General features: G+C 36.3%; 1 protein-coding gene across 3 annotated transcripts in view; it reads right to left on the minus strand.

Moving 5' to 3' along the window:
• Positions 1–12,449: 12,449 nt before the first annotated feature.
• The window catches only part of VGLL3 (vestigial like family member 3), a 53,177-nt gene continuing 40,456 nt past the window's right edge, over positions 12,450–25,170 (minus strand). For all 3 annotated transcript variants that reach the window (NM_001320494.2, XM_006713138.5, NM_016206.4), the window contains exon 4: positions 12,450–21,544. In NM_001320494.2, the coding sequence (NP_001307423.1) occupies positions 21,501–21,544 (44 nt within the window). In that variant the 3' untranslated portion in view covers positions 12,450–21,500. The remainder of the gene's footprint in view (positions 21,545–25,170) is intronic.

A 25,170-nucleotide genomic window follows, 5' to 3' on the forward strand; every position in this document is an offset into this window, starting at 1 on the left:
AGGGGTCTGCCAGGATGAGAAGCTAGAAGAAAAACTAAGAACATGCCAAGACAGTGAATAAGCCTGGAGCCTGCACTGCATTACATATTTTTTGGTTAACCTATGAGGGGCTAGGGAATACCTAGTTTCACAAAGTAACAAAAAATATTTTAAGATATCTCTGAGCCCAGGTAGGATGATACAGAGAATGCATACAAATCAGGTGGGTCCGGAAAGCTATGCATGCTAGGAATGCAGACATCAAAGATCTTTTCTCTCTGTAGGCCATTACACCAAGTGAGCCAGCTCCCTGCCAAGATACCAATAAAGAGGAGAAAATGAGCCTCTAGAGCCATGTAGACTTGTTTCCCATCAGGGTCTTAAATATGAGTGACAAGAGTCACTTCCACTTTCTGACTTAGTTCCCATACTTGTATATTCTAACTATGGAAAAAATACAACTGCATATTAGTTGCTATTTCGAAGCAAGTTATGCATCTTGTGTGACAGCAAATCCAACCTTGGAGGGTGTTGTCTCCTAGGTGGCCCCCAAACTGAATCTTCAGCCATTCCACTAGTCTACTAGATCAGCTAGTACATAGATATGAATTAATTGCCAATCTTTTATGTTTCTAGGTTAGAAGCAATGCTGTGTGGGATACCATAACTTGTAAGTAAGGCATTCTATAATTGCTTGGATGATAGTACTAGAAGCTAGATGCATTGATAAGTCAAATCCAATTTTGAACATATATCTATTTATATTAAAAAATTTTGCTCACCAAGACTTGTTTCTCCTTTTGAGTGAGATATTGTGCATATTGCAACACTTGTCTTTCACACTAAAAGGAATGCACCTATATGCCCTTAGAAACTTCTCTAAAGGCAGAAGCCTGAAATTTCATTTTATCTCTTACTCTGTACACACAAATGACTTCCTAATCATTTAGGATATTCTTTCTATTCCCCCTAACCAGATTCAATCAGCATCTAAGTCATGGACAAATGTGATGTTCTGTGAAAGGTACTAATCAAGGTCCTGAGTATGTATAAGCATATTACATAAGGTATGAACACTCCCATACCTTTTATAATATAGAAGCATATCATATACTGTGTTGATACCTCATATACTATGTTTATACATACAATACACTGATAGCTCTGACAAGAGAAAATGAGCTGCTCCTGGTCAACCTTTCAAATTGATATGGAGAAGAAGAAAAAAGCATTTTTCAAGCCAGATTAATAGATGTGTACCAAAATCTAAAGCCTTGTTTGCTTTATTGTACTCAGAATACCTATGTGGAATAGCAGTTGCAATTGGAGTAACCACCTGAGTTTAAGACAGCCCTCAGTCATTCTTTATGACTCCTTATGCCTTTTTCCTGGAAGTAAACTTGTTGTGGCCCTCCAGGGATGAGGCTTTGCTTTTCATTTACTGTGTAAGTACAGATGGCACTTCCAGGTGCTAACGCTTGGGACTTCTTATCATAATGGACAATGCTGGGGTTCTGTTAGTTTCCTAATGTGCTTTACCCAACTATGCTATTAGGAGCTGGGAAAGTTTCCTAATGTGCTTTACCCAACTATGCTATTAGGAACTGGAAAAATACCCAAAGGAGAATCCTGGACCCAAAAGGACCATTTTCAGATAGACTTGGCCCAAAACTTTATTCATCAGCCAATTTCCATAAGTCCCAGAAGACTATAGTGGCACTTCAGGTGCTCAGGGATGAGTGTCAACTCAGAGCCCGTGTCTAGAATTTTCCCTTTCTCCAGTGCGAAGTCATAGGTGAAATGGCCATCTACTCATTCAGGCTATGCTTAGAGGAAGATTTATAATCTGTATACATGAGGATGTTGCAAGACCTTCCCCAAGGGGGCCTGGTCTCTCCTTCAATTAAGCAATCCAGGTTTATAGACTAGTTTAGGTGGAGGAATTGGAGGAGACGCCATGACTTCTTACTGCAGTGACTCAAATAAGACCTGTGCTCCCTATATATAGTGATTCTCTATAATAAAAATCAAGTAATATTTTATGCCTATTTATTTTGTCCCTAGGTCCCGGTAATCAATTATCCATGACTCAGGTCCCTCAAGTTTAAAACATTCTGGATGGCAGTCCACCTTTACAACCAATCATGGTAATTGAGCCACCCTTATCTCTGATGGTTAAGTACTGCCACCTGGCCTCTGTCACTCTGGAATCCCACAATTTCCATTAAAATCATGTAGACTACTTCACAAGTGGCAACTCCCATCATCAACCCCTATTTCCAGTTGAAATTCAGAACCAAGTTTTCAAAAATGCTGGTATTTCCCTCATGAAGCACTTCTCAATGCCCTGGTGATATAAGTGTTTTTTTGTAACTTTCAGATAAAATTTTCAGAGGAAGAGAAGGCAAATTGTCCATAATTATTTTACTCTAAATTTATCATGTTTGTATATCTGTTGGACTCCTTGCTCTAAATAATTACAGGAAAGTTTTCGCATCTTGACCTCTTTAGACATAGTCCTTTGTGGAATCCATGCTTTAGGCAGTCAACTAAGTGAACTATTTCCAGATGATCAAGTTAATACATTAAATCATGAATCCAATAGATATAGCCAACCTAACTCTATATTTCATTTTCTTCCTTTCACATGCTTAGGATTCATTTATATATGTGCTCTTTAAATTTCAATTAATCGATATGGGCAAGTTTTTGCAATTCCTGGTGGTCTATATGCTGTCTTCTTCCAAGATAACTATTGATTCTACCCTGGTCTTACTGGAATCTGATTCCAGTTTTGGATCTATAAACAATGAAGCGTGATGTGTGTGAATTTCAAAAGAAGGCTAGTTTCCTCAGGAAAATGAAAAGAGGGAGAGGTGTTTCTACTGGGAAATCAGTTTTGATATTGAATTATGGAACTTATTTCATTGTGGAAGTCCAGTGTCCAGCTTTATCCGTGAACAAACAGGTTTCTGTCCATTTCTAAGAGAATCATTGCTTTCTCACTAACCCCTGAATATTAACAGAAGAAATTTGGCAAAGTTATCTGACCAACTTGCTTCAAAATTCTCCAAACTACACCACAAGACGTTAGTCTTGACTCTCAGCCATGCTGTCCTGTATGTATAATGGATAAAAATAATTCACTGAAAGCTGTCGTCAAGTACTCTGGTTTTCTACCTGTGTTCGAGCTGAAACTTTAAAGTCTTGCATTGGCTTTCTTTTTTTGGAAACCTTGAAGTGTTGTCTCAAATACTTTATCAAGCTCTACAATACTTGTAATCATTGTTACTGCCATAGTGGCAGAGTACAGCAGATTACTTAATTTCTTAGAGCCTTGATAATCCAGGTAGTTGTGATGCCTCTGCATACCATGGATTACTAAAATTCTCTCTCTGCCTTCATGCGGCTCATTCCTACTTTCATGCTCTAACATAAAATCCTTTCTTGAGGATTTGTTTCCTGGGATCACTCTTTATGGACAAAATGGTATATGCCATATTTCAACCAGGTAAATAGAAACCACTCTGAGTTCTTAAACAGCAAATTTGAAGCAGGAAATTGGTTATGTAGTGATAGAAGAGCTATGGAGATGGTCAAACAAACTAGAGATTAGCAACATCAGGAAGCCGCTCCCACCCATAGGCGCAAAGAGGAGAAGCATTCTAAAAGGAGCCCAGACACTAGGGTACCCAGCAGTAGCTGGGAGTGTGTCAGCAGCTGAGGCCTTAGATGAGTCATAGTCACTGCAGGAGACACAGCTGCTGCCAGAGATGCTGTTCAAAGCAGAGTAGGAGACAGAGAAATATCCCGGCTTCTCCTTGTACGCGGTCTCACCCTGCAATCTCCTGCCAGGGCCAGAGCTCAATCCGCTGGTGATACTACATGGACACTGTACATGGTACATTGTACATGGGACAATCTACACGGGACATTGGAAAGTCTAGGAAGGGATCAGTCTTGGGAAAACAGTTTCAGTACCTGCAAGGAAACTAATGTTTCCCTTTTCAGAACAGAGTGGTTTATCAAGGAAGAGAAACTATGTCTTCCTCCACCTCGGAATGGACTGCTCTGGCTGTAATTTGTATCCACCCTTGCGCAGTTAGGGGGCCTCGGGCTTGATGTGATCAATCTATTTACAGTAAAGCTATGATGAGGGTAAAAACTGATGAAGTATGTGTTAGGGCATTTGCTGAGAAAGACGTACTCATGAGAAATGAGGCAAGTCAAATTGACTAATATGGAAACATTATTGATAGAAGAGAATGTGATAGAGATCCATACACATGAAACAGTCAGATCAAGGAGGTTGAGGGTGTTTTTAGGGCACAGAGACTGTATTCATTTAACTTGCTTTGTCTACATGCTGGATGGCATCATGAGCAGGTGGCAAATGCCTTCAAATTATCACGATAAACTGTTCTTACTAATGAAAGTGTGAATGACTGTAGGTAATTACATGAAATTCAGTCATGAGATTAAGCCGTCAGCAAGTGCAGGAAAATTATATTGAAATTTAGTCATTTATTAGTGTCCCAGAAGAATCTATAGACGCCAACATGGATCGTTGAAATTAAGCTGGACACATAACAAAGATTTTGTTTTGTAAAATGCAGCAGAGCTGATTGAGCTGGATAACCTGTTATGTCTTTAATGATATATGTCTGTAACTTTGTCTACTGTGCTGCCTGTAATTAGTAATAGGAATGCTGTGAATGTTTTTTCTTAATTCTACATTTCTATTTTCCACCACTGAATAATTCAAACCAGCACATGAAACATATGGGATGAGCAAAAAGTCTAAATTGTGCACAGGTTTGCATATTGGCTCCTTGAAAGAAAAACTTAAAAACACAATTCCAGGATGTCAAATTCCTAAGAGAATCATGTCTTTCTTGCTATTTCTTTTCTCTCTTTTTTTTAAAACTTCAGATTACATAAATGCCAATGGCATTTGTTGCCGAGATTGTTTGGAATTTTTCTTTGTTCCACTCTGAACAACATTGTCATTATTGAATTTTTACAGCTCCAACTTCCATTAATATCTGAAGAAGTTGTTAAATAATCTTTTCCAATTAGATTATTCTTTCCAAACTATTCTAGCTCCAGGAAAATATGAATGATGATGTCTAAATAAGGTACGGTGTCATATTTAAAGAAAATACATGTACAAAAACTTTTAGAACTAGAGGAAGCCTTAAAGATTGTCTAGTTGTATTGTTCCTATTTTATAGAGAAGAAAACACATCAAAGAAATTTAGTTATTTTTTTTCTAGGAGCACACGGGTTGTTAGTGACAAAAGTAGGTCAGGAATAGATTGTTTTTCAGATAATCTACGAAAGCATTCTTTAGGTAACTCTTCATTATTCAGTAAGATTCCATTACTTTAACATGTGATGTAGTTCTGGTTCATGATCATGCATTGTTGCAAACAACATATAGTTTTATTATTAAGAACAACAAGACTGCTTTATCCAGAGGATAACTCATTCCTCATAATTCTCGGCATCAGGTTATTTGCACACAAATTCTTCAGTTCAGAGTCATCTTACAGACTTTTTCCTTGTTTGTCTGCTTAAAATTTTTTCCAAACATTTTTAACTTTCCCTTCTGTCTCTCTCAGTCAACCAGGTCTTGTTACATCTTAGTTATTCAGCATGTAACTCTCTTATCATCTTACGGTTTTGTTTGTTTGTTTGAGGCAGGGTCTTGCCCTGTCACCTAGGCTGGAGTGCAGTGGTACGATCTCGGCTCACTTGGACCTCAGCCTCCCGAGCTCAAGTAATCCTTCCACTTCAGCCTCCCAAGTAGCTGGGGTTATAGGCATGCACCACCACACCTGGCTACTTTTTGTATTTTTTTGTAGAGATATAGAGACAAGGTTTCGTCATTTTGTCCAGGTTGGCCTCAAACTCCTGATCACAAGTGATCTGCCCGCCTTGGCCTCCCAGAGTGCTGGGATTACAGGTGTGAGCCACCACACCCCACCTTATTATCTTTGAATTTTCAGTTTAATGTACTGCAACAGATAGAAACCAGAAATTAAAAGTGCAAAGCCACAATCAAATGCCTTTCTAAATAGAACTTCCTTTTTTATCGTGGGAGACATGCTTAGGTGACATGTGCATAGGGGATTTGCCGTGAGGCTAACCAGCTAAAGCATCCAGGTCTCACTTGCACAGGCCCTTTCCCAGGTCTTGGGATGAATCTAGAGCTCATGTTGACATATGTTTTTGTAATTTTCTCAAAAATTAGCTGTTTTTAAGCACTATTGTTTAAGAACACTGTCTCCTTCACTCACATACACTGTCTTCTCCATCACATGTTCCTCTTATGGGATGGGAGGGATAAAGCTAAGACAAGGTTGGGTTGGTCAACACATACAACTGAGATTTAGTGGATATATTTATGCCATTTTCAAATACTTCTATGTACAATTAAGTAGTCATTCCCTGGTGTATAAATGGCTTCTAGGAATCCTTCAACCCCATCCATTGCAATGTTTGAAATGGGCCTGAGATGACCTCTCTCTATGAACATATCCTATCAGTGTTCTATCAGCAAGCACAAGGGTTTAGTGAAAAAGATAAAAAACAGGTTTAAAATGTGCAGAGGATTAAAACTAGTCATTAGAAATGCAGTGCATCACATATGCATCTTTAAGCAAGTAATTAATGAAAATATACATTTTTTTCTGAATTTTGTGTTCTATGGCATTTATTTGCTTTTCAAAATTTGTCCATTGTGATTTCTCATTTTCAGTCTTCACTTATGTACATAACTTGGTATTCATTTTGTATTCTTTTTCTTAAAAGGTCATCCTCCCCCCAGCTTTCATAAGTCTCAGGCCCCACAAATCCTGGATCCAGGTGATTAAGTTTCCAAAGCTAATCCTTTTAGACCTCAGAGGGAAAGCCTGTTCCTGGCTCGCTTTAGCAGCTGAAGTTTAGCAGGGCTGGGGTAACAAAGACCTAGTAGAACAATCAAGAAATAAAAACAGGTAAAAATCTTTTCTGGGACATGCAATAAAAAGTTCCACATCAGAGAAGCTGAATTTTTTTTGACAAGTCTAAGAGAATTGTCATGGTGCCAGGGAGCACGGGCAAGTTTGGAAGCCTCACGGGTCCAAAAGTACAGCAGAGAGCAAGGCGCAGTGGTTGCATCTAAAAATATTTCCATGAAAAAGCTGGCATTTCTGAGACTTGCTTTTTATGAATGTGCACTACCTGATCAGAGAGAGTGGGTTAGCCTATTACAAATAGTCAATACAGACACCATATTCACTGTCAACATTGACAAGGGAAATGGATGAAACATCCATATGAATTCAAATCAGGACTTCTAGGGATTGAAATCACTACTTTGTTTTACTTCTATTAGTATTTTTACCACGTATAGTTGACCCTATAGAAAGTCTAAATAAAGAGAAAAAAAAGATACACACACACTCACACATTCACACACACACACTCACACACACACACTCACACAAGTTCTGGGGGTAGGATGATTTCTCCTGCTTTATTTTCATGAGTTTAGAGAAAGAAGGAAATGGGGATTATAGTTCATAGCAATCTGAATTTTGATGCAGAAATTGGACTAGATTGTCCAATTACTTATCATGATGTGTCAGTCTCATAATGCAATTTTAAGAAAGTAAGACAGTAGTGCAGAGAGTACAGCTAGTTTGTGGTATAAGCGGTTTAAAAACCAGGCTTTCGGTTACCTGCAGTACGATCTCTAGACTTCTGCCTTACTTATATTTTGTATGTGAATGTGAGCAAACACTAGGCACTCAATATTAATCATATAGTAGATTGAGATGGAGCTTGGTGTAGTGGAAAATACATGAGCTATGAAATTACACAACTGGACTTTTAATCCTGATTCTGCTGTGTCATATTATTTAAAATCCCTGCAACTCAGTTTCTCATCTCTAATGTGAAAATAAGGAAACTCGCCTTGAAAAGTTGTTCTGAGGATTCCAAGAGGTGACTTTTGTAAAGTTCCTGGTTATAGATGCCTAGTAAATTTGAGCCAGTACTAATTGATGCATAAAATTCTAAGCTTCCTGGGAAGTCTAGTACTTGACAGGCACTTACACATTATCCCATCTAATCTGCATATCTATCCTATAATGTAGGTATTACCATCTCCTTTTTACTAATGAGGAAGGGTACATTTCCCATGTCAAACAACTGGCAAGTGGGGAGTAGGAGGATGATAGAATCTTATAGCCTCTCAGCTTTCTGACACAGAAGCTGCAGATTAAGACAAGTGTTTTGAAATGATTTATTCTATTCATGTTTGTTAAAGTCTTGCCCAAACACATACTCTAAGTGTGAGAAATGAGGGTACTTCATTAAAAAAATTTTTCAGGACTAAAATGTAATTTTGATTTTTTTTCTAGCAGACAAAACAAGTGCTGAACACCTAAAGAGATTGGGGAGTTGACAGTTTCAGATGAAAAATAAGATGTCAACATCAAGAAGCTATAATTCTTCCAATCCGGTATAAGATTTGAGGATAAGCTGAGTAAAGAAATAATTATATTCCTTGAGATCAGAAGTATATGTCAGATGAATTTATTCTGTATCCCCAAGTGGCAAATAATGTTCTACAATTCCAAAGTCTCTCATAGCTCTCATTCATGAAAGCCACATTACTCTCCCTCACTCTTCCAAAGTATCCTATCCTTCCTGGCCATTTTTAGCTTCTCCTACTGTCTCTTTTTATCCCAGTTGGCTATGAGATTATAAAATCTTCTCACAGCAAATACATTCAGATGTGACAATAGCAAAAATTTGGGGGTGGTATGGAGTTCTGAGTTTCCTGTTTGGCTAAATCTGGGTTTGGATCCTGGCTCTGTCACTCACAGCTGGGTGCCTATATTAGTCAGAGTTATCTACAGGAGAAGAACTAATAGGAGATTTTATATATCTATATATCTATATCTATATCTATATCTATATATCTATATATATATATATATCCCAACACACAGACTCAAATGTTAATCTCCTTTGGCAACACCTCACAGACACACCCAGGATCAATACTTTGCATTTTTCAATCCATTCAAGTTGACACTCAGTATTAACATCACAAGTCCACCCCTTGTCGAATTGAACCCATACACATCTCCTGAAATCATACATAACTTCAAATAAAGACAATAATAAGGTCATAATTACACCTAACATACTACAACTCTCCTTCATACAACCAGAAATGCAACAATCCCTAATCCAAATGCTATTACATTAAGTTAACACACATAAATGCTGACATGAAGTCATTAAATCTTACGTCACATGATAAAGGAAAAAGGGAATAAAATGAAGATATTTTCTTAGTGCAAGTGTATACTTGCACAAACATATTTCTAACAAAAGGAGAAGGAAATACTCATGACAATTACAGTCCCCATTTCTGCAGCTGGTCACATGGTCGTAGCTGATATTGATGACTACCTTGTTCTGCTACCCATTCTGTATTCCCTTTGCCTTCAGCAAGCATCTTGGCAGGTCGTGGTTTTTTCCCCTGGTGGAGTTACCCAACCGTCAGTTCTTGACTTCTGTGCACTCACAGGCTCAACATCATGTGGAAGCTGCCAAGGTTTAAGCCACAGCCCAGCCTCTATGTTGGGCCCTTTCAGCCACCACTAGAGCAGCTGGGATGCACCAAGACCTTAGGCTGCACACAGCACAGGGACCCTGGGCCCAGCCCACAAAACCATGTTTTCCCCCTAAGCCTCCTGAGATGGGAGGGACTGCCATGAAGACCTCTGATATGCCCTGGAGACATTTTCCCCATTGGCTTGGGGATTAACTTTCAGCTCCTTAGTATTTATGCAAATTTCTGCAGCCGGCTTGAATTTCGCCTCAGAAAATTGATTTTCCTTTTCTATCACATTGTCAGGCTGCAAATTTTCTGAACTTTTATGCTCTGCTTCCCTAATAAAACGGAATGCCTTTAACAGCACACAAGTAACCTCTTGAATGCTTTGCTGCTTAGAAATTTATTCCACCAGATACTCTAAATCATCTCTCTCAAGGTCAAAGTTCCACAGATCTCTAGGGCAGGGCAAAATTCCTCGTCTTTTTGCTGAGACATAACAAGAGTCACCTTTGCTCCAGTACCCAACAAGTTCCTCCTCTCCATCTGAGACCATCTCGTCTTGGATTTCATTGTCCATATCACTATCAGCCTTTTGATCAAAGCTAGTCAACAAATCTCTAGGAAGTTCCAAACTTTCCCATATTTTCCTGTCTTCTTCTGACCCCTCCAAACTGTTCCAACCTCTGCCTGTTACCCATTTCCAAAGTTGCTTCCACATTATTGGGTATCTTTTCAGCAGTGCCCCCACTCTACTGGTACCAATTTACTGTATTAGCCCATTTTCGTGCTGCTGATTTCATACCCGAGACTGGGCAATTTACAAAAGAAAGAGGTTTAATGAACTTACAGTTCCACATGATTGGGGAGGCCTCACAATCATGGTGGAAGGCAAGGAAGAGCAAGTTACATATTACATGGATGGCAGCATACAAAGAGATAGCTTGTGCAAGGAAACTCCCCTTTGTAAAACTATCAGATCTTGTGAGACTCATTCACTATCACAAGAACAGCACTGGGTCCCTTCCACAATTCTTGGTAATTATAGGAGCTACAAGATGAAATTTGAGTGGGTGCTCAGGGCCAAATTATATCAGTGCCCTTCAGAATGAACTTAACTGATGATTTCCTCAATTACTGAAAAGTTAGATTAATTAAAGAGCAACAACAATATTTACTTAGTGATAAGTAAATTAAATACTTAATTCTAGTAACAACTCTGTGAAGTAGTTTCCTTTAATATCTTCATTTGATGGCTGGGCTCAGTGGCTCACGCTTGTAGTCCCAGCACTTTGGGAGGCTAAGGCAGGCAGATCACAAGGTCAGGAGTTCGAGACGAGTCTGGCCAGTGAAACCCAGTCTCTACTAGAAATACAAAAATTAGCTGGGCATGGTGGCAGGCACCTGTAATCCCAGCTACTTGGGAGGCTGAGGCAGGAGAATCCCTTGAATTCAGGAGGCAGAAGTTGCGGTGAGCCGAGATCCAGCCACTGCACTCTAGCCTGGGTGACAGAGCTAGACTCCCGCTCAAAAAAAAAAAAAAAAAAAAAATCTTCATTTTACATACAGATGACCACACTGTGACTTAAAGAGGTGAAGAAAATTATCCAAAATATACAGCTTCTAAGTAGCATTGCTGAAACTCAACCCCCATTTTTATATTGCTAACAGCTTCTCAAATAATGCTATCTGCATATTGCTATTTGTGAGAATCACTTGAGGTGAATTCATGTAATACTCATGATAGATCAATGACTTTCATTAAATATTGGTTCCTATTTCTTTGTATTTATATAGCACTTTATTTTTCCCAAATCAGTTTAGATTTATTTCACTTGATCTTCCTTGGACAGATAAACAGAAATATAAGATTAAATAATATCAACAAATCACCAGTGGAAATGGTCCTAGGATGTGGGCCTTCTCTCTTCATATTTGGTACCTTCTTTCCTTCAAACCTTCAATTCTTCAAGATACCATAAGAAGAAACTTTGAATTTTAACTTTTCTTGTGTCCTCCCTCCATTTTCGGGCTCTGAGGAAAGGCATATGAAAATAGGGCATATGCTTATTTTCATAAAAGGATGAGTGCCTTGATGTTACAGAACCTGATAGCACACACTTAAAATGATTATTTTGCCATCTTTGGAATCATCATGGCTGGAGGGCCACTCACAACAGGACTTTTCCTCTTCTTGCAATGATAAGCCTTAATGGAATCTGGCCTGCAGAGTGTCTGGGCTGTGTGTGAGCCTGATGTCAGATCAAGTCCAAGCAAGTTCCCCGAAGCTCAGGCTTTACAACATCGTGTAACTCAGAAACATTCCATCAAGCCACCACCCACCTTTTCCAGTGGGAATCTACTAAAATGATTTTCTTGGAAGCAGTGTGGAAGTAGGGGGAAGGGTGTTAAATTTGTGCTTTTGGAGTGGATTGTAGATGGGTGAGTGGGTGGAGAAAAGAGCGGGGGGGGGGGCGGGAATTAAAAGCAAAGATGGAAAAAATAACCACACTGCCACCAAAATATTCTGCTCAAGGATGAGGGAGTTCACCCTACAGCTGTTAGCGCTGTTCAGCATATTTTGCATATTTATATATACCAAGTATTTCCAAACAGCCTTGTGTTTGTTTTAAAATCCCACACGGAGATGTCTGGTAAAGCTGTCACTGCAGAAACTTCATGGTGAAGTTTGTAAGACTACTTTCAAAATTCTTTATATGCATCATAAACTGAGCAGAAGAGCTATTGTCATTAACCACATTATAGAGAAATCTAAACTAATCTGCCTACCCATCAGACAACACTCAGAACAAAGCACCCATGTTCTAAGACAAAGAAAGAACCTCGTTGATTGAAGCCAATTTTTTTTATTGTTGGTGTAATTTGTTTAACACAAAATGGCACATAGCATGATATCATGTCACCCATTGATCCTTGATTAGTCCTGAAGTTATCAAAGTATGATTTTTCTTTATTTCTGTTGACTCTAATCTTTGACTTAACGATATTTTCCCAGACTTACTGAGTTATAATTGACACATAAAAGTTATATATATTTAAGGTATACGATATGATGATTTGATATAGGTAAACATTGTGTAATCATTATCACAATCAAATTAATTAATACAACCATAACTAGAAGTATTTTTTGTAAGAAAAATGATAACACTGGACAGATTTTTCATGTAGCCATTTTCTTTTGGAAACATAAAATACCACAAAACCATACATAGCTCATTTGAAAAAGATTCTTAAGCTTTCAACAGAAGGAATAGGGGAGTTTAAAGCTATATTTTCCTTTTAGCAAGATCCACAAGAAAGGATAGAGTGTCATGCTTAAAGGGGAACAGATTTTGTATTTTTTGGCAAGATATTAAATCCTCTGTTGCTATATTTGGCTCTCTGCAAATAGTCTCTTGTACAAGTGCAAAGCAAAGATCAATGCTGATGTTCTTCATTCAGTCACAGCCAAACTTGGTATGGAAAGTAAAACAGTTGTGCTTGAGTGTTGTTTCGAACAAAGTCTTGCAGCTCATTTATTGATCAGCAGCATTCCAGAGTATGGATACCTTCTTTACACATTAAATCTATCAAAACATGTTTGCTTTTCCATAACAGTTTTCCACTGCTTAACTGATAGCAGATGGAGTGATTCAATCTGGACAAAAGTGTTAAAGCTTTACCACGTCAATGTGGTCATATTTAGCTATTTAGTCAAATGTGTATAAGCAGGTCAAATAAGATGCTTGGAGACTTAGGACATCGCAAGATGGGTCTAAGTTCCCAAAAAAGGAAGCAAAACAATTAAATCCTACTTGGTTGTCCCCAGAGAAAACACACTTCAGCTAGGAAGAATCTGCACTAGATGACCTGTTCTCCACCCCCTAGACTGCTCATCTTACATAAGTAACACATAACCCTTTGGATTCTGAAGCACTATAATAACTACATGAAACATTTGAAATAGTGACAGGAATTTTCTTTACATGCAATTATTTAATGAATGAAGATAAACCCCCACACAAATGCCAACGCAAACATTATGACTTGCTACTCCCAGTGAAATAGTCCTTCTCGATTACAAGAGTGATAGAAAATGATGGAAGTCCAATACTAATTGTTGTAGGTAGAATAATGGCTCCAAGTCCTAATCCCCAGAACCATTGAATATGTTACTGTACATGGAAAAAGGGCCTTTAAAGATGTAATTAAGAACCTTGAGCATGGCGCAATGGCTTATGCCTGTAATCCCAACACTTTGGGAGGCCAAGGCAGGCAGATCACGAGGTCAGGAGACGGAGACCATCCTGGCCAACATGGTGAAATCCCGTCTCTACTAAAATACAAAATATTAGCCTTGTGTGGTAGCACGCATCTGTAGTCCCAGCTACTCGAGAGGCTGAGGCAGGGGAATCCTTTGAACCCGGGAGGTGGAGGTTGGAGTGAGCCGAGATCGCGCCACTGCACTCCAGCCTGACGACAGAGCAAGACTCCATCAAAACAAAACAAAACAAAACAAAACAAAAAAACAAAACAGAACAAAAACCTTGAGATGAAGAGATTATTCTGGATTACACAGATGCAGCTATTGTAATCACATGAGTCCTTAAATATGTAAGGGAGAGGAAGAAGAGGAAGTCAGTGATGTCATGTGAGAAGGTCTTGACCAGGTTGCTGGATTTGAAGATGGAAGGAAACTAAGCAAAGGACTCTAGAAGCAGGGAACAGCAAGATTCTCTCTTGGAAGCATCCAGGAAATGCCTCCTACATTCTGTAGCCCACCAAGACTAAGATCTTTGCTGAATGTCTGACTGACAGAGCTGTAAGATAATAAATTTGTGTTGTTTTAGGCCGTTATCGTTGTAGTAATGTAGTAATATTTTACAGCAGTTCTAAAAATCTCATTTTGACACCACATTCTAAATATGGTAGACAGTTAAAAAGCCTGCGCCAAATTATTTCATCTGTAATGCTGGAAAGTCTATTATTTAAATGCTGATTTTCAGACTTTAGTACTTTCACATTAAAGATACGTGTAATAAGAAAATTGAAGGCCCACTTAGAGAAACTCTAGCTTTCTTCAGAATACAAGGTCTTGGAATTCTCTTTTCAATGTTAATGAATCGTAGAAAAGTTTTTGTTTGTTTTTTCATACTACTTATGGCAGAGTCCCTGTCAACAAATGTAAAAACAATAAAATACACCTTGGTCAACCAATATCCTTAGAAGCATTGTATTATAAAATTCTCAAGACTCTTGCTGTTATGTAATTAATATACCCCATTTCATTTTCTTTTCCATTATAAACATGTATTTTATAATCTATTCCTTGCTGTAACATATAGACTTCTTGGCCCTAGAAATTAACTTCTTAATTAATAACACCTAAGATGTTGTAATTTCCAAAATATTTATAAGATGCTTAATTGAATAAGGAGGAAACAAAAAGAGCTTTAAATTCTCAAGAAATGCAGACCAAATCCAAATGCTATGTTAAAATACAAACATTCAATTCACATTAAATTATTTATTGAACAAATTGAAGATAATGACATATGTTTTTATTACAAAGTCTTCCATCATCTTATATCATTGACACATATTATGAGACCTGCATTTGAAGAGTGAATAGAAATAAGAAAATGTTTTCCCAACCCCACAAAAACAGAAAAAAATATATAATTTTATAATTATCTTATAAAGCCAAAAGTTTTATGAATTATACTTTTTTTATTAGTTAAAAATGACAGCATAACTAAGGTTAATTTTTATTTCTGGAAACACAAAATTAAGGTAGCACAACTTCTTGTAGAACTAACAAGTCTGAAAGTTCATGGTATTTCAATGCAGTAAAATAATATTTCTATTGTTAGTTTTCAGTTTACCTAATCAAGTGACAAATATAAAATTCACTACACTGTATTTTTGTTGACAAAAGCATTTCACCTTACCTAGATTTATATAATAAAAACAAATTGTATCCATCTTCCCTTTAAATATATGTACTTCAAAGTGATACAAAGAATTCACATGAAAACCTTTCCCTATGTTTTATCTCCTGAAAAAAAAAATGTATGGAATAGTATTTTTAAATCAGATATAATATCCAATATTATACATATCCTAAGAAATTAAATCAATTGTGTAAATAATCATTATTAACTTTTGCTCTAGCCACGGCATAGAAAGAAATGTACATCTCTATTAATATAAAGTGATATCAATAGGAAAGTTCACATCTTATGCATATACCAAAAAAACTAATTAAAGTATGTTGCATTTTAAAAGAATTATTCTTATGCCAAATTTAGTAGTCTAGAAATTGTTTTTTTTTTTAAAAAAACAAATTGATGATTACTTATCCTTTTCTAAAAGGTGTCTGTTTGCTTATACAATGGAATTGGTAAAAGTACACTTATTTATAATAGAATTTCTTGGAACTTAAAAAGGAGATTCAGAAAAACTTATTGGATCAAATTAAATTGACTAGAACTTCAAGAGAATACTACTTTGACCAATACTTTAAAACTATAAAAGTATTTTTAAACAAAAAAGCACAATAGACAATAAAAGAAATAGAAAAGTTGAGATACTTTAACAATAATGACGATTTCTGTAGGTTGTAAAAGTGTACATGGTGCAATTCCCAGAGAGCACTACAAGATTCAAAAGAAAAAAAAAACCTGCTAAAAAATTCTAAATGTCTGTGCTGTGACCAATCTCCATGACCAAGTTACCATGAAAAGTAACATTTTGAAGTTATTGAGACTGAGGTTTCCTTATGGACTCCACCCATGCCCCCACTTGCCAGAGCCATTCACTTTTTTATAGGTTATATGTTTGTTTTCAACATTCGTTTTTGAATGGATGTTGAAAGTTAGGCTAAAATTTTTACCTAATTTTTCTATAATGATTTTAATAACAGTTTCAATGCTTTAATAATAGATTTAAAGGGCACTTTGGCCTTTAAATATTTTCAGAGAATAAACTGTAATTTCTCTCTCAAACAAGCCTTTCTTATTCTGAAAGATGTCTTTTATCTTACAGGAAAGAAAAAAAATGAGTTTCTAGGAGCCTCTCCATTAAACTGGCAGGCTGATTTCATTTCTGATCCCATACAGTTTCTGCTGTCTTTCCCTTGGCTGCAAAGGTGATCAATCAGGAATCCAAACTGCCATCAATACCCCTTTGTAACTGCAATGGCTCAAGTGAACTCCTTCCGTCTTCAATAACTGACACAGTGTCAACATCTGCTTCCAATAAGATTGTTTCTTTTTTTCCTTGAGTAGAGTAAATCTGCTGACTGAGATCGTAAATGGTTGTGTTTTTCCCCCTTTTAATGCGGAAGATTTTTTCCACCATATTTTCCAACTTTCCTTCAAGTCAAGTAAAAATAAAAAAAAATTGGATAACTTCAAAAGAAATGTTCTTATCCTAGGTGCCAAGGAAGTTTGATATATAACTAAAAATATAAACTATGGTGAATGAATGACACTGTCCTCATAATTTTGGACACAGTAATTTAAATAAAATTTTGGAACATGTAGGAAAACTGAATTGGACCTACATGCCACTTTAAGGTTAATTTATTTTTCCTTCAGAAATGACATACTAAAAAGTCAGCTAATTAAGAAACGTACATTTATCTCCTATACCAGGTAGAAGGAACAGTTAGTAGGAGAAAAAGATTCTCTTTGCAGTAATTTCTTACAGAAAAACAATCATGTATCTATTTGATTGCTGCAGAAACGGATATGGATGTGAAGAGAAGAGACCTTTGGGAGCTCAATTTAATGAACTACTTACTCAACTGATAGGCATCTGTAGTAGCTGTTATTTATTGAACATCTAATATGAGCTACATGATTGATCGTGTGTGTGTGTGTCTGTGTGTGTGTGTGTGTGTATGTGATTTCCAACTTCCAGAGCCTGCCTGTTAGGTATTATTCCATTTTACTCATGAGATAAATAAATGAAGCCCCAAACCACACATAAACTTTTGGCTAAACTAGAATTTAGAGAATGGCCTAACAGCCGAGTTCTTTTCCATTAATTCATTCTGCTTTCTATTTATCCCTCATTCAAAACTCTAACATATATACTTTCCTTTTTCCACCACTTAACGCCACTGCCCCCATCGGCTTAATTCAGCAAACACTATTTAAAGAAGGGACACTCAGTAAGGAATAGAATACAGGTTCTTGAAACAGTTTCTGATTTCCACTTTAAATTATAAATACAACATTAAACCAGATAGCAAACTCAAAAGCTAGATAGGGTGACATATTCTGCAAATCTTAGAATAGGAATGGGCAAATACTTTTTGTATAATGAATAACAAGCTTCTCAAAGGCAACTTTCATGTCAGTGCTTAGAATTTGGGTTTTTTTTTTAAAGTCTTATAAAGTTAAAGAAATAAATCCCTCAATTATTTGCAATCCACTCCTCATTTTGCAAATTTTAGAGCAATCTTAGCCATTTTTGCTTAACAAAATAATATAAATACTCTTAAGAAGAAAGAAAAAGGAGAGCAAATAGAGGGGAAAGTTAAGAGAGGGTGCTTAACTTTCTTAAGAAGACACATTGATTTCTCAAAAGTTTAGAGGCTCTTTCAAATTAATAATGAGAGACAAAATAATCTGTTAGGTTCCTGATTTGTCAACATTATGTTGTTTCTTAGCTCCCGATGGTTTATTGGTGGAAGCATAGATTCTATTTAAAATAAACGAGACAATTTTCTAGGGTCTACTTCACAGATATTTAGAAAGCTTGAATAAAATCTGATTTGTAAAATCAGACAAAAGTCACCTTTGTCTAAAGGTGGAGTGGTTTTAATAAAATTGTGGAGGCAGATAGTAGCCCTCAATAAAACAGTTCGGAAGCCTCTAAGTCCAACAGCATCATTTTGATGTGAAAAAAGAAGAGCCAGAGAATGACAGGATTTTAAACTTGGAATGAATTCAGAATATTATGCTAAATTACAACCCATCCTCTTTTAGGACTTCTAACAGCAATATGGTCCTAGAAGACAATTATAGAGACATGCTCATTCTCTTTCTATGTATATTTTTGATCCACTCCCTGGGTGGCAGTGTACCCCAAACACCTAGGTCCTGTTTTCTTTTTCCTTTTGAGACAGGATCTTGCTCTGTTGCCCAAGCTGGAGTACAGTGGTGCAATCACAGCTCACTGCAAGCTGCAAACTCAAACTCCCAGGCTCAAACGTTCCTCCGGACTCAGCCTCCAGAGTAGCTGGGACAACAGGTGTGCCCCACAATGCCCAGGTAATTTTTCAGAAATTTTTTGTAGGGATAGGGTCTCCCTATGTTGCCTAGGCTGATCTTGAACTCCTGGGCTCAAGCAATCCTCCCGAGCCTCTGCCTCCTATAATACTAGGATTACAGGCATGAGCTGCTGTGCCCAGCCTGGGTCCTGTTTTCAAAGAGAGAGCTCACTTACAAATCTTTCCTGTGTACAGCAGAAACCAGGTTCCCAACATTTCTCAGTTCCTCAGAGCCAATAAACTTTTTGTCTGACAGTTACCGGGAGAACACAGAGCAAAGTCTAAATTCAGGGTGAAGACATCTAATTAATGCCCTTCAATTAAATTTGGTGGAAAATAAGAAATGGAGCTAGGAATAACTACTTTCCTTTTCCTCTTCATTGGGAAAATCCAACTGAATGATCTGAATGAGTTTAACACTACTTTCAAATAAATTACAAAGGAAGTTAATGTATTCCGAAGGTGGATGTGGATGAGGCAAATAACCCTGTCAGTCATCACACAGGGACTGTTGAATACTTGCCTTTGAAAACTCAGAAGGACACAAGGCAAATCCAGATTTATAAATTCACTAAATTTTGTGCTCCATGTATTTGGGCAAATTATAAATGAAACAATCATATCAAATCAAATTATGGACCAAAGTATAGAAAATTTAACCTGGCTACTCCCAGGAAATATAAGTTCATATTATTAGTGAGTGGAAGGTATCTTAAATTTGGACCCCACAATGGTAAAAATGTGCATATTGTGTAAAAGAGAGTCTAGGTAAGAAACAGCAAAGTGCGGAGTGATGAGAGTACAAAAGAGTATATAGATCTGAAGCTCAAAAGACGGATAGGATATAAATGAATACATAAATTACAGCCAAGGAAAATATTTGAAAATTATCTATGAGAACTCTGCCTAGCTGAACATGTCATGTTCATGTCTAAAAAGTTCGCATATATGATACGAACAATTAAAGATAGAAAGTGGCATTTCACTGAACATACTATTTTATGTGGGTGGAGAGAAAAATGGGAGAAATTTGAAAAAACCTCTTTATAAAGCTAAAAAACTTCTCTAATACACTAACTTTTTTACATGACATCTCTGGAAGCAGTTAATGGAAGAAATGAACTTTGCCTTTGAAGTCCAGCAGTATCAATAACTGTTACTTTCATAATCTTAATCTTCTCCTAGCAGTGTCTTAATGATAATTTAAACTTTATTTAGATCCTGAGAGCTATATCAAGTTAAATCCTCAAATTTTTAATTTTTAGCCCAATTTAAATTGTATATAACCTCTGGTTTTATTTTTAAATTGTGGCATAAATTTAAATCCTAATATACACTTTATTTTGCCCTAAATTTCTTTCTAAAAAGGAATTAAATCAAGTAAAGCCAGATTTAAACAAACAAAAAAAGAGACTTGTTAAGTTCTGTGTTGAAACTATTATATATAGAACTGTTTGTTTGTTTGTTTGTTTGTTTGTTTAGCTTACAGGGATAGGTGGCATTATAAGAAAGAGCTCGGGCTTTGTAATTTCTCTAGTACCTTCCCAGATATTGTTCCTTCAAATGCCCTTCAGGAAAAACAAATCCCACTTAAAATATGACTTTTTAAATTGCCATGAATGAATAATTAAAAACAAGTAAAATAAGTCACTGGCACTCATAGGTGGCATGGTTAAATGCATTTTTTTCCTTGTAGTTGTATATAACCTCTGGTTCCATTTATCAAATTTGGATGGGCTAGAAAGAGAATTAGTCTCCTCTAGGCAAACTCTTCATTTGATTGAAAGTTTATGCCAACTTTCTTATTAGTCAACCTCCAAGTTATTCTTTGGGAGAAATCAAAGCAATAAAATATCATTTCTTTAGCACAGTCATTAAAAAAAAACTTTTCAAGCTATACATATAATTCAAAACTAATTGAGCTAGCATGGAATTAAATCTTTACTGAGATTCAATGTAAAAACAATACTGCATTGGTTTGACTACGGTATAGCTACTTTTGTAAGAAGGAAAAAAACAAAACATTTGAGGTAACCTAGAAAGCACAGACAGAGCATATAATAGACATCTTAGAGATAAGCATTTTAAACATTTTTGCCAGTGCTTCTCTGAGAGCAAGTTCTTTAAACAGAACTCAACAATTTTTACAATTTTAAAAAAAATACATCCCTCAAAAATAGCCCATCAATGCTAAACCAAACTTTTTGTATTTCTACAAAAATAGATGCACATAGAGCTACAAACTTGTATTCCTGAAAGAATGAACATTTTAATGTGTGGTTCATCCTTTCCTGACAAGGTGGTTGGCTAAAAAAAAAAATCAAAATGAAACAAAAACTTAGCTATATATTGATAAAAGCAAGATAACAAAAGGAGAGAGTTGCACAGTTGGCAAAGGCTCAGATGAGGAAATAAACAAATAAAAATGCTTTTCTTCAATGTCTGGGACCCACTTTGCTTTCTCAAGAAAGGCCGAAAACCAGTCAACTGCGTGACACTTTGTCTTCTCCTTCTATGCCTTTCGTGTCCTATTGCTGAATGGAAAAACCCGACAGTATCTTTTCCCAGTGGGCCCTTGGATTTATGCTGCAACTTAACTCACTAAGATTGTGTGTTTCAGTACCACGGTGATTCCTTACTCTTGTCTTGATGCTGTAGACCTGGAACAAATGACAATGGGGAAAAAATAAAGAACATTAATACATATGGTACCAAAAATAAGCATAATCTGCAATACATTGGATATAGAAACCAAAATGATAATCCAGGCAACTGTGAGTTCTGACCTGAAGACATCATGATCTCTAAGCAAATTCTGTGCTGGAGCTCACAATTTTCAAAAAATCAACTAACACAGTATGTGACAAAAACACAAGACTAGGACAGTGCTATTTATACAATACAAATTATTTGCTATATTTTTTATTTGCTTGGAGTATGAGTGAATAGTAAATAGCAAAAACGAAACATTTGTAATTTCAAAAGGAGATGATATTGGGAGAAAAAAGACATAAATAATCTTTGGAGCATTTATGCAGTGCTTCAATTAATACTTTCAGTAACAATCAAAATTATTCTTTTAGACTAATGTGATAAATAAATTCTGTTGTTATTTTGAAATGTACTCCACAATGGGATTACTATAAACTATGTGAGCAATTAGATGGCTAAAAACTGAGTCTACTATAGTCAGTAAAATAAACACAGTTGGTTCATAACTAACAGTCCAGACCTATATTCTATTTATTAATTTACTTATTTTATCTTATCTTCCTCCAAAAAGTATTTAAAGTGGATTTAAAAAATCATAACAGCAAAAATTAAAATTTAGAAGTTAATAATAGTGACAAAAGGAAGGTATACATTGATTAATAGGACATAGATTAATTCAAACTCAAAGCTAAAATCAGTAAGAAGTTTATCAAACAGAAAACGGGAAATGTGACTTTTATCTGTGTCTAATACAGTTAATTGAATAATTTCTGATATGGGCAATTCACATAGCACCTTCAATTTGCACGTACTCGAAGTTACTTTTATTTTGTTTTTTTTTTCTTTCCAGCTTCATTGAAATATAATCGAAAATTAAAATTGTATATATTTAAGGTGTATAACGAGATACTTTGATGAACTTATATATTGTGAAATGATTACCTAAATAAAGTTAGTTAATACATCTGTCACCTGTTTTAGTTCTCTTTGTTTTTGTACCTGAAGTATAATTGTTTGGAAGAGTAAAAACACAGAATAATAGGTGCTTCTATGTTGTTTAAAACTAAATAACAAAACATGAAGCAAAACTCTTTAAACATGTGTGTAGAAATGCAGCAAAGTTGCTGTTGTGTGGGTGCAAGGATCTCAAGTTGTCTGCTTGACCTTTGATCTGAAACTGTTGTAAACCCAGGATGGATGTCAGAAATTTAATAGCTAAATGAGCCAATTTGGTTCAAAGTTTTTCTATTATTAAACAACATTTCTTATCCCTCAACTAGTCACAGAATTTTGTAAAATATGGATTTCATTACAAAATAGGACACAATTAGTGTTTGGAGACATTAAGGCAATCTACAAAACGGACTACACAAAGGGCAAAAGAACAAATAGAAGGAGATATACATATGTAACTAACCTGCACATTGTGCACATGTACCCTAAAACTTTAAGTATAATAATAATAAATTAATTAATTTTAAAAAAGCAGCATCTCATAAAATTACAAGTCGCAATCTCTGTACTGTGTAGCATTTGTGTACTGGGAACAAACAACACTTCCTGAATGCCAAAAGATTGGCTCCACCTTTTTCTTTTTACCACAAGCATACTGGTTTTATGCTTGATAAAGAAGCAATAGTTTTCCTTTCCCATTTCGAAAGAAGAGGAGGAGAAGGATAAAAGAGGACAATGAGAGGGAGAAAAAAAATAAAAGGATCTGGGGTATGTCAATCCACTCTAAGTTTGCTTTATTCATTTTCAAATGGTTTTCTGGTTAGAATAATTTGCAACCTGACATAGTCTCTGTTGGGTAACTCTTGTAATCTAAACCACCTTTACTGACAATCTGCTGACTATATAAATATTTTTTTAATTATTAAAACATCTCATCCTCTGTATGACTCAGGATTTCCACACTTGAAGACTGCATCAATCTACAGAATGTCAGCACTGCAAGTCATGAATACTGTTGTAATCATCAAGTGGTTTGCCTGTCTTATTCTTGCTTTTAAACAAAGGCAATTTCTTATTTGCTTTGCAAAGACATATGACTATTTCAAAATCACGTGAGACTTTTGCTGCAGACAAGTATTTCATTACTTAAGATCGCCCCAGATTTTCCAATCAGAATAACAGAAGTCATTCTCTCGTTATAAATTCATATATTCAATTTCTTGTTTCCATGTCTCTGCATTTCTACAATGCGAATCTTAAAAAGTCAATTCCTCTGTGGCCTAAAATGTATCAGATATCTAATGGACCCTTGTGGTTAAACTTCTTCTTGGTGATGGAACATAAAAAATTTTGCTTTAATTACCAGGCATTCATATTTGTAAATCTCAAAATAGGCATATGTAAAGCACAAGAAAATGAGCAACTACAAACAAAAAACCCTACAAATAAGTTGCAAAAGAAAAGCAGGGCTGGCTGGGCGCGGTGGCTCATGTCTGTAATCTCAGCACTTTGGGAAGCCGAGGCGGGCGGATCACGAGGTCAGGAGATCGAGACCATCCTGGCTAACACGGTGAAACCCTGTCTCCACTAAAAACACAAAAAATTAGCCGGGCGTGATGGCGGGCGCCCTGTAGTCCCAGCTACTCGGGAGGCTGAGGCAGGAGAATGGCGTGAACCCGGGAGGCAGAGCTCACAGTGAGCCGAGATCATGCCACTGCACTCCAGCCTGGGTGACAGAGCGAGACTCCATCTCAAAAAAAAAAAAAAAAGAAAAGAAAAGAAAAGAAAGAAAAGCAGGGCTACAATTTTTTCTTATTAAGACAACTGGTAATGGTAGATTGGAAAAATTAAGAGTCAACAAGTACATTTAGTTTTTCCCAGTGAGGGTGGAGGGGGGCAAAATTGTTAACCCATGAATCTTATGTGGTCTACATTTATTTGGGATTTCCCAAGACTTTTCTTGCCAGAACAAAATCCACTCTGCTACAGGTTCTGCTCCTATTCATACTTTTCTGCTTCCTCACTTACCCAAATCAAACCTACTTGAAATTAATTCATAACATATCCTGAGATTTCCCCACTGGCTGTCTGAAATCACATCTGCTTGCCTTCTTTATAGTAGCCATTTTCTTTTAGTTCTGTTGTTCAGACTGTGAGATTTTTCAGTAGAAAGGAAAAAAAATCATAAAAATGAAGTGACCTAACATTTTCTTAGGGCCTTAATGATTATATTAAGCACAGTGCTAAGTGCTTTATATGAAACATCATACTTCATGCTCCTAATCATGCTAAAATAATACTTATTTTACAAATGAAAAAATTTAAGTTAAGAGAATTTACGCAATCATTGAGAGAACTAGGATTTTAAAAGAGGTGGTCTGATGTCAGAGTCAATGGTCTTAACCACAATATACGTGTTCACATTATATGAGTTATACTGGCTGTAGCCTAAGTCAAAATTATCACAAAATCAATTCAAGGAAAACTTAACAGATTATTATACTCCTTTTTGCACTGCTTAGAAACACCCTGATTTAACAGAACTGATATGAAGATTAACAAAACAGCCCTCAGGGATTTTTTAAAAATTCTCCATTTGTCACATTTTTCCCAAGATGAC

This window comes from Homo sapiens, chromosome 3 (genome assembly GCF_000001405.40).
Source record: "Homo sapiens chromosome 3, GRCh38.p14 Primary Assembly".
Taxonomy (NCBI): Eukaryota; Metazoa; Chordata; class Mammalia; order Primates; family Hominidae; genus Homo; species Homo sapiens.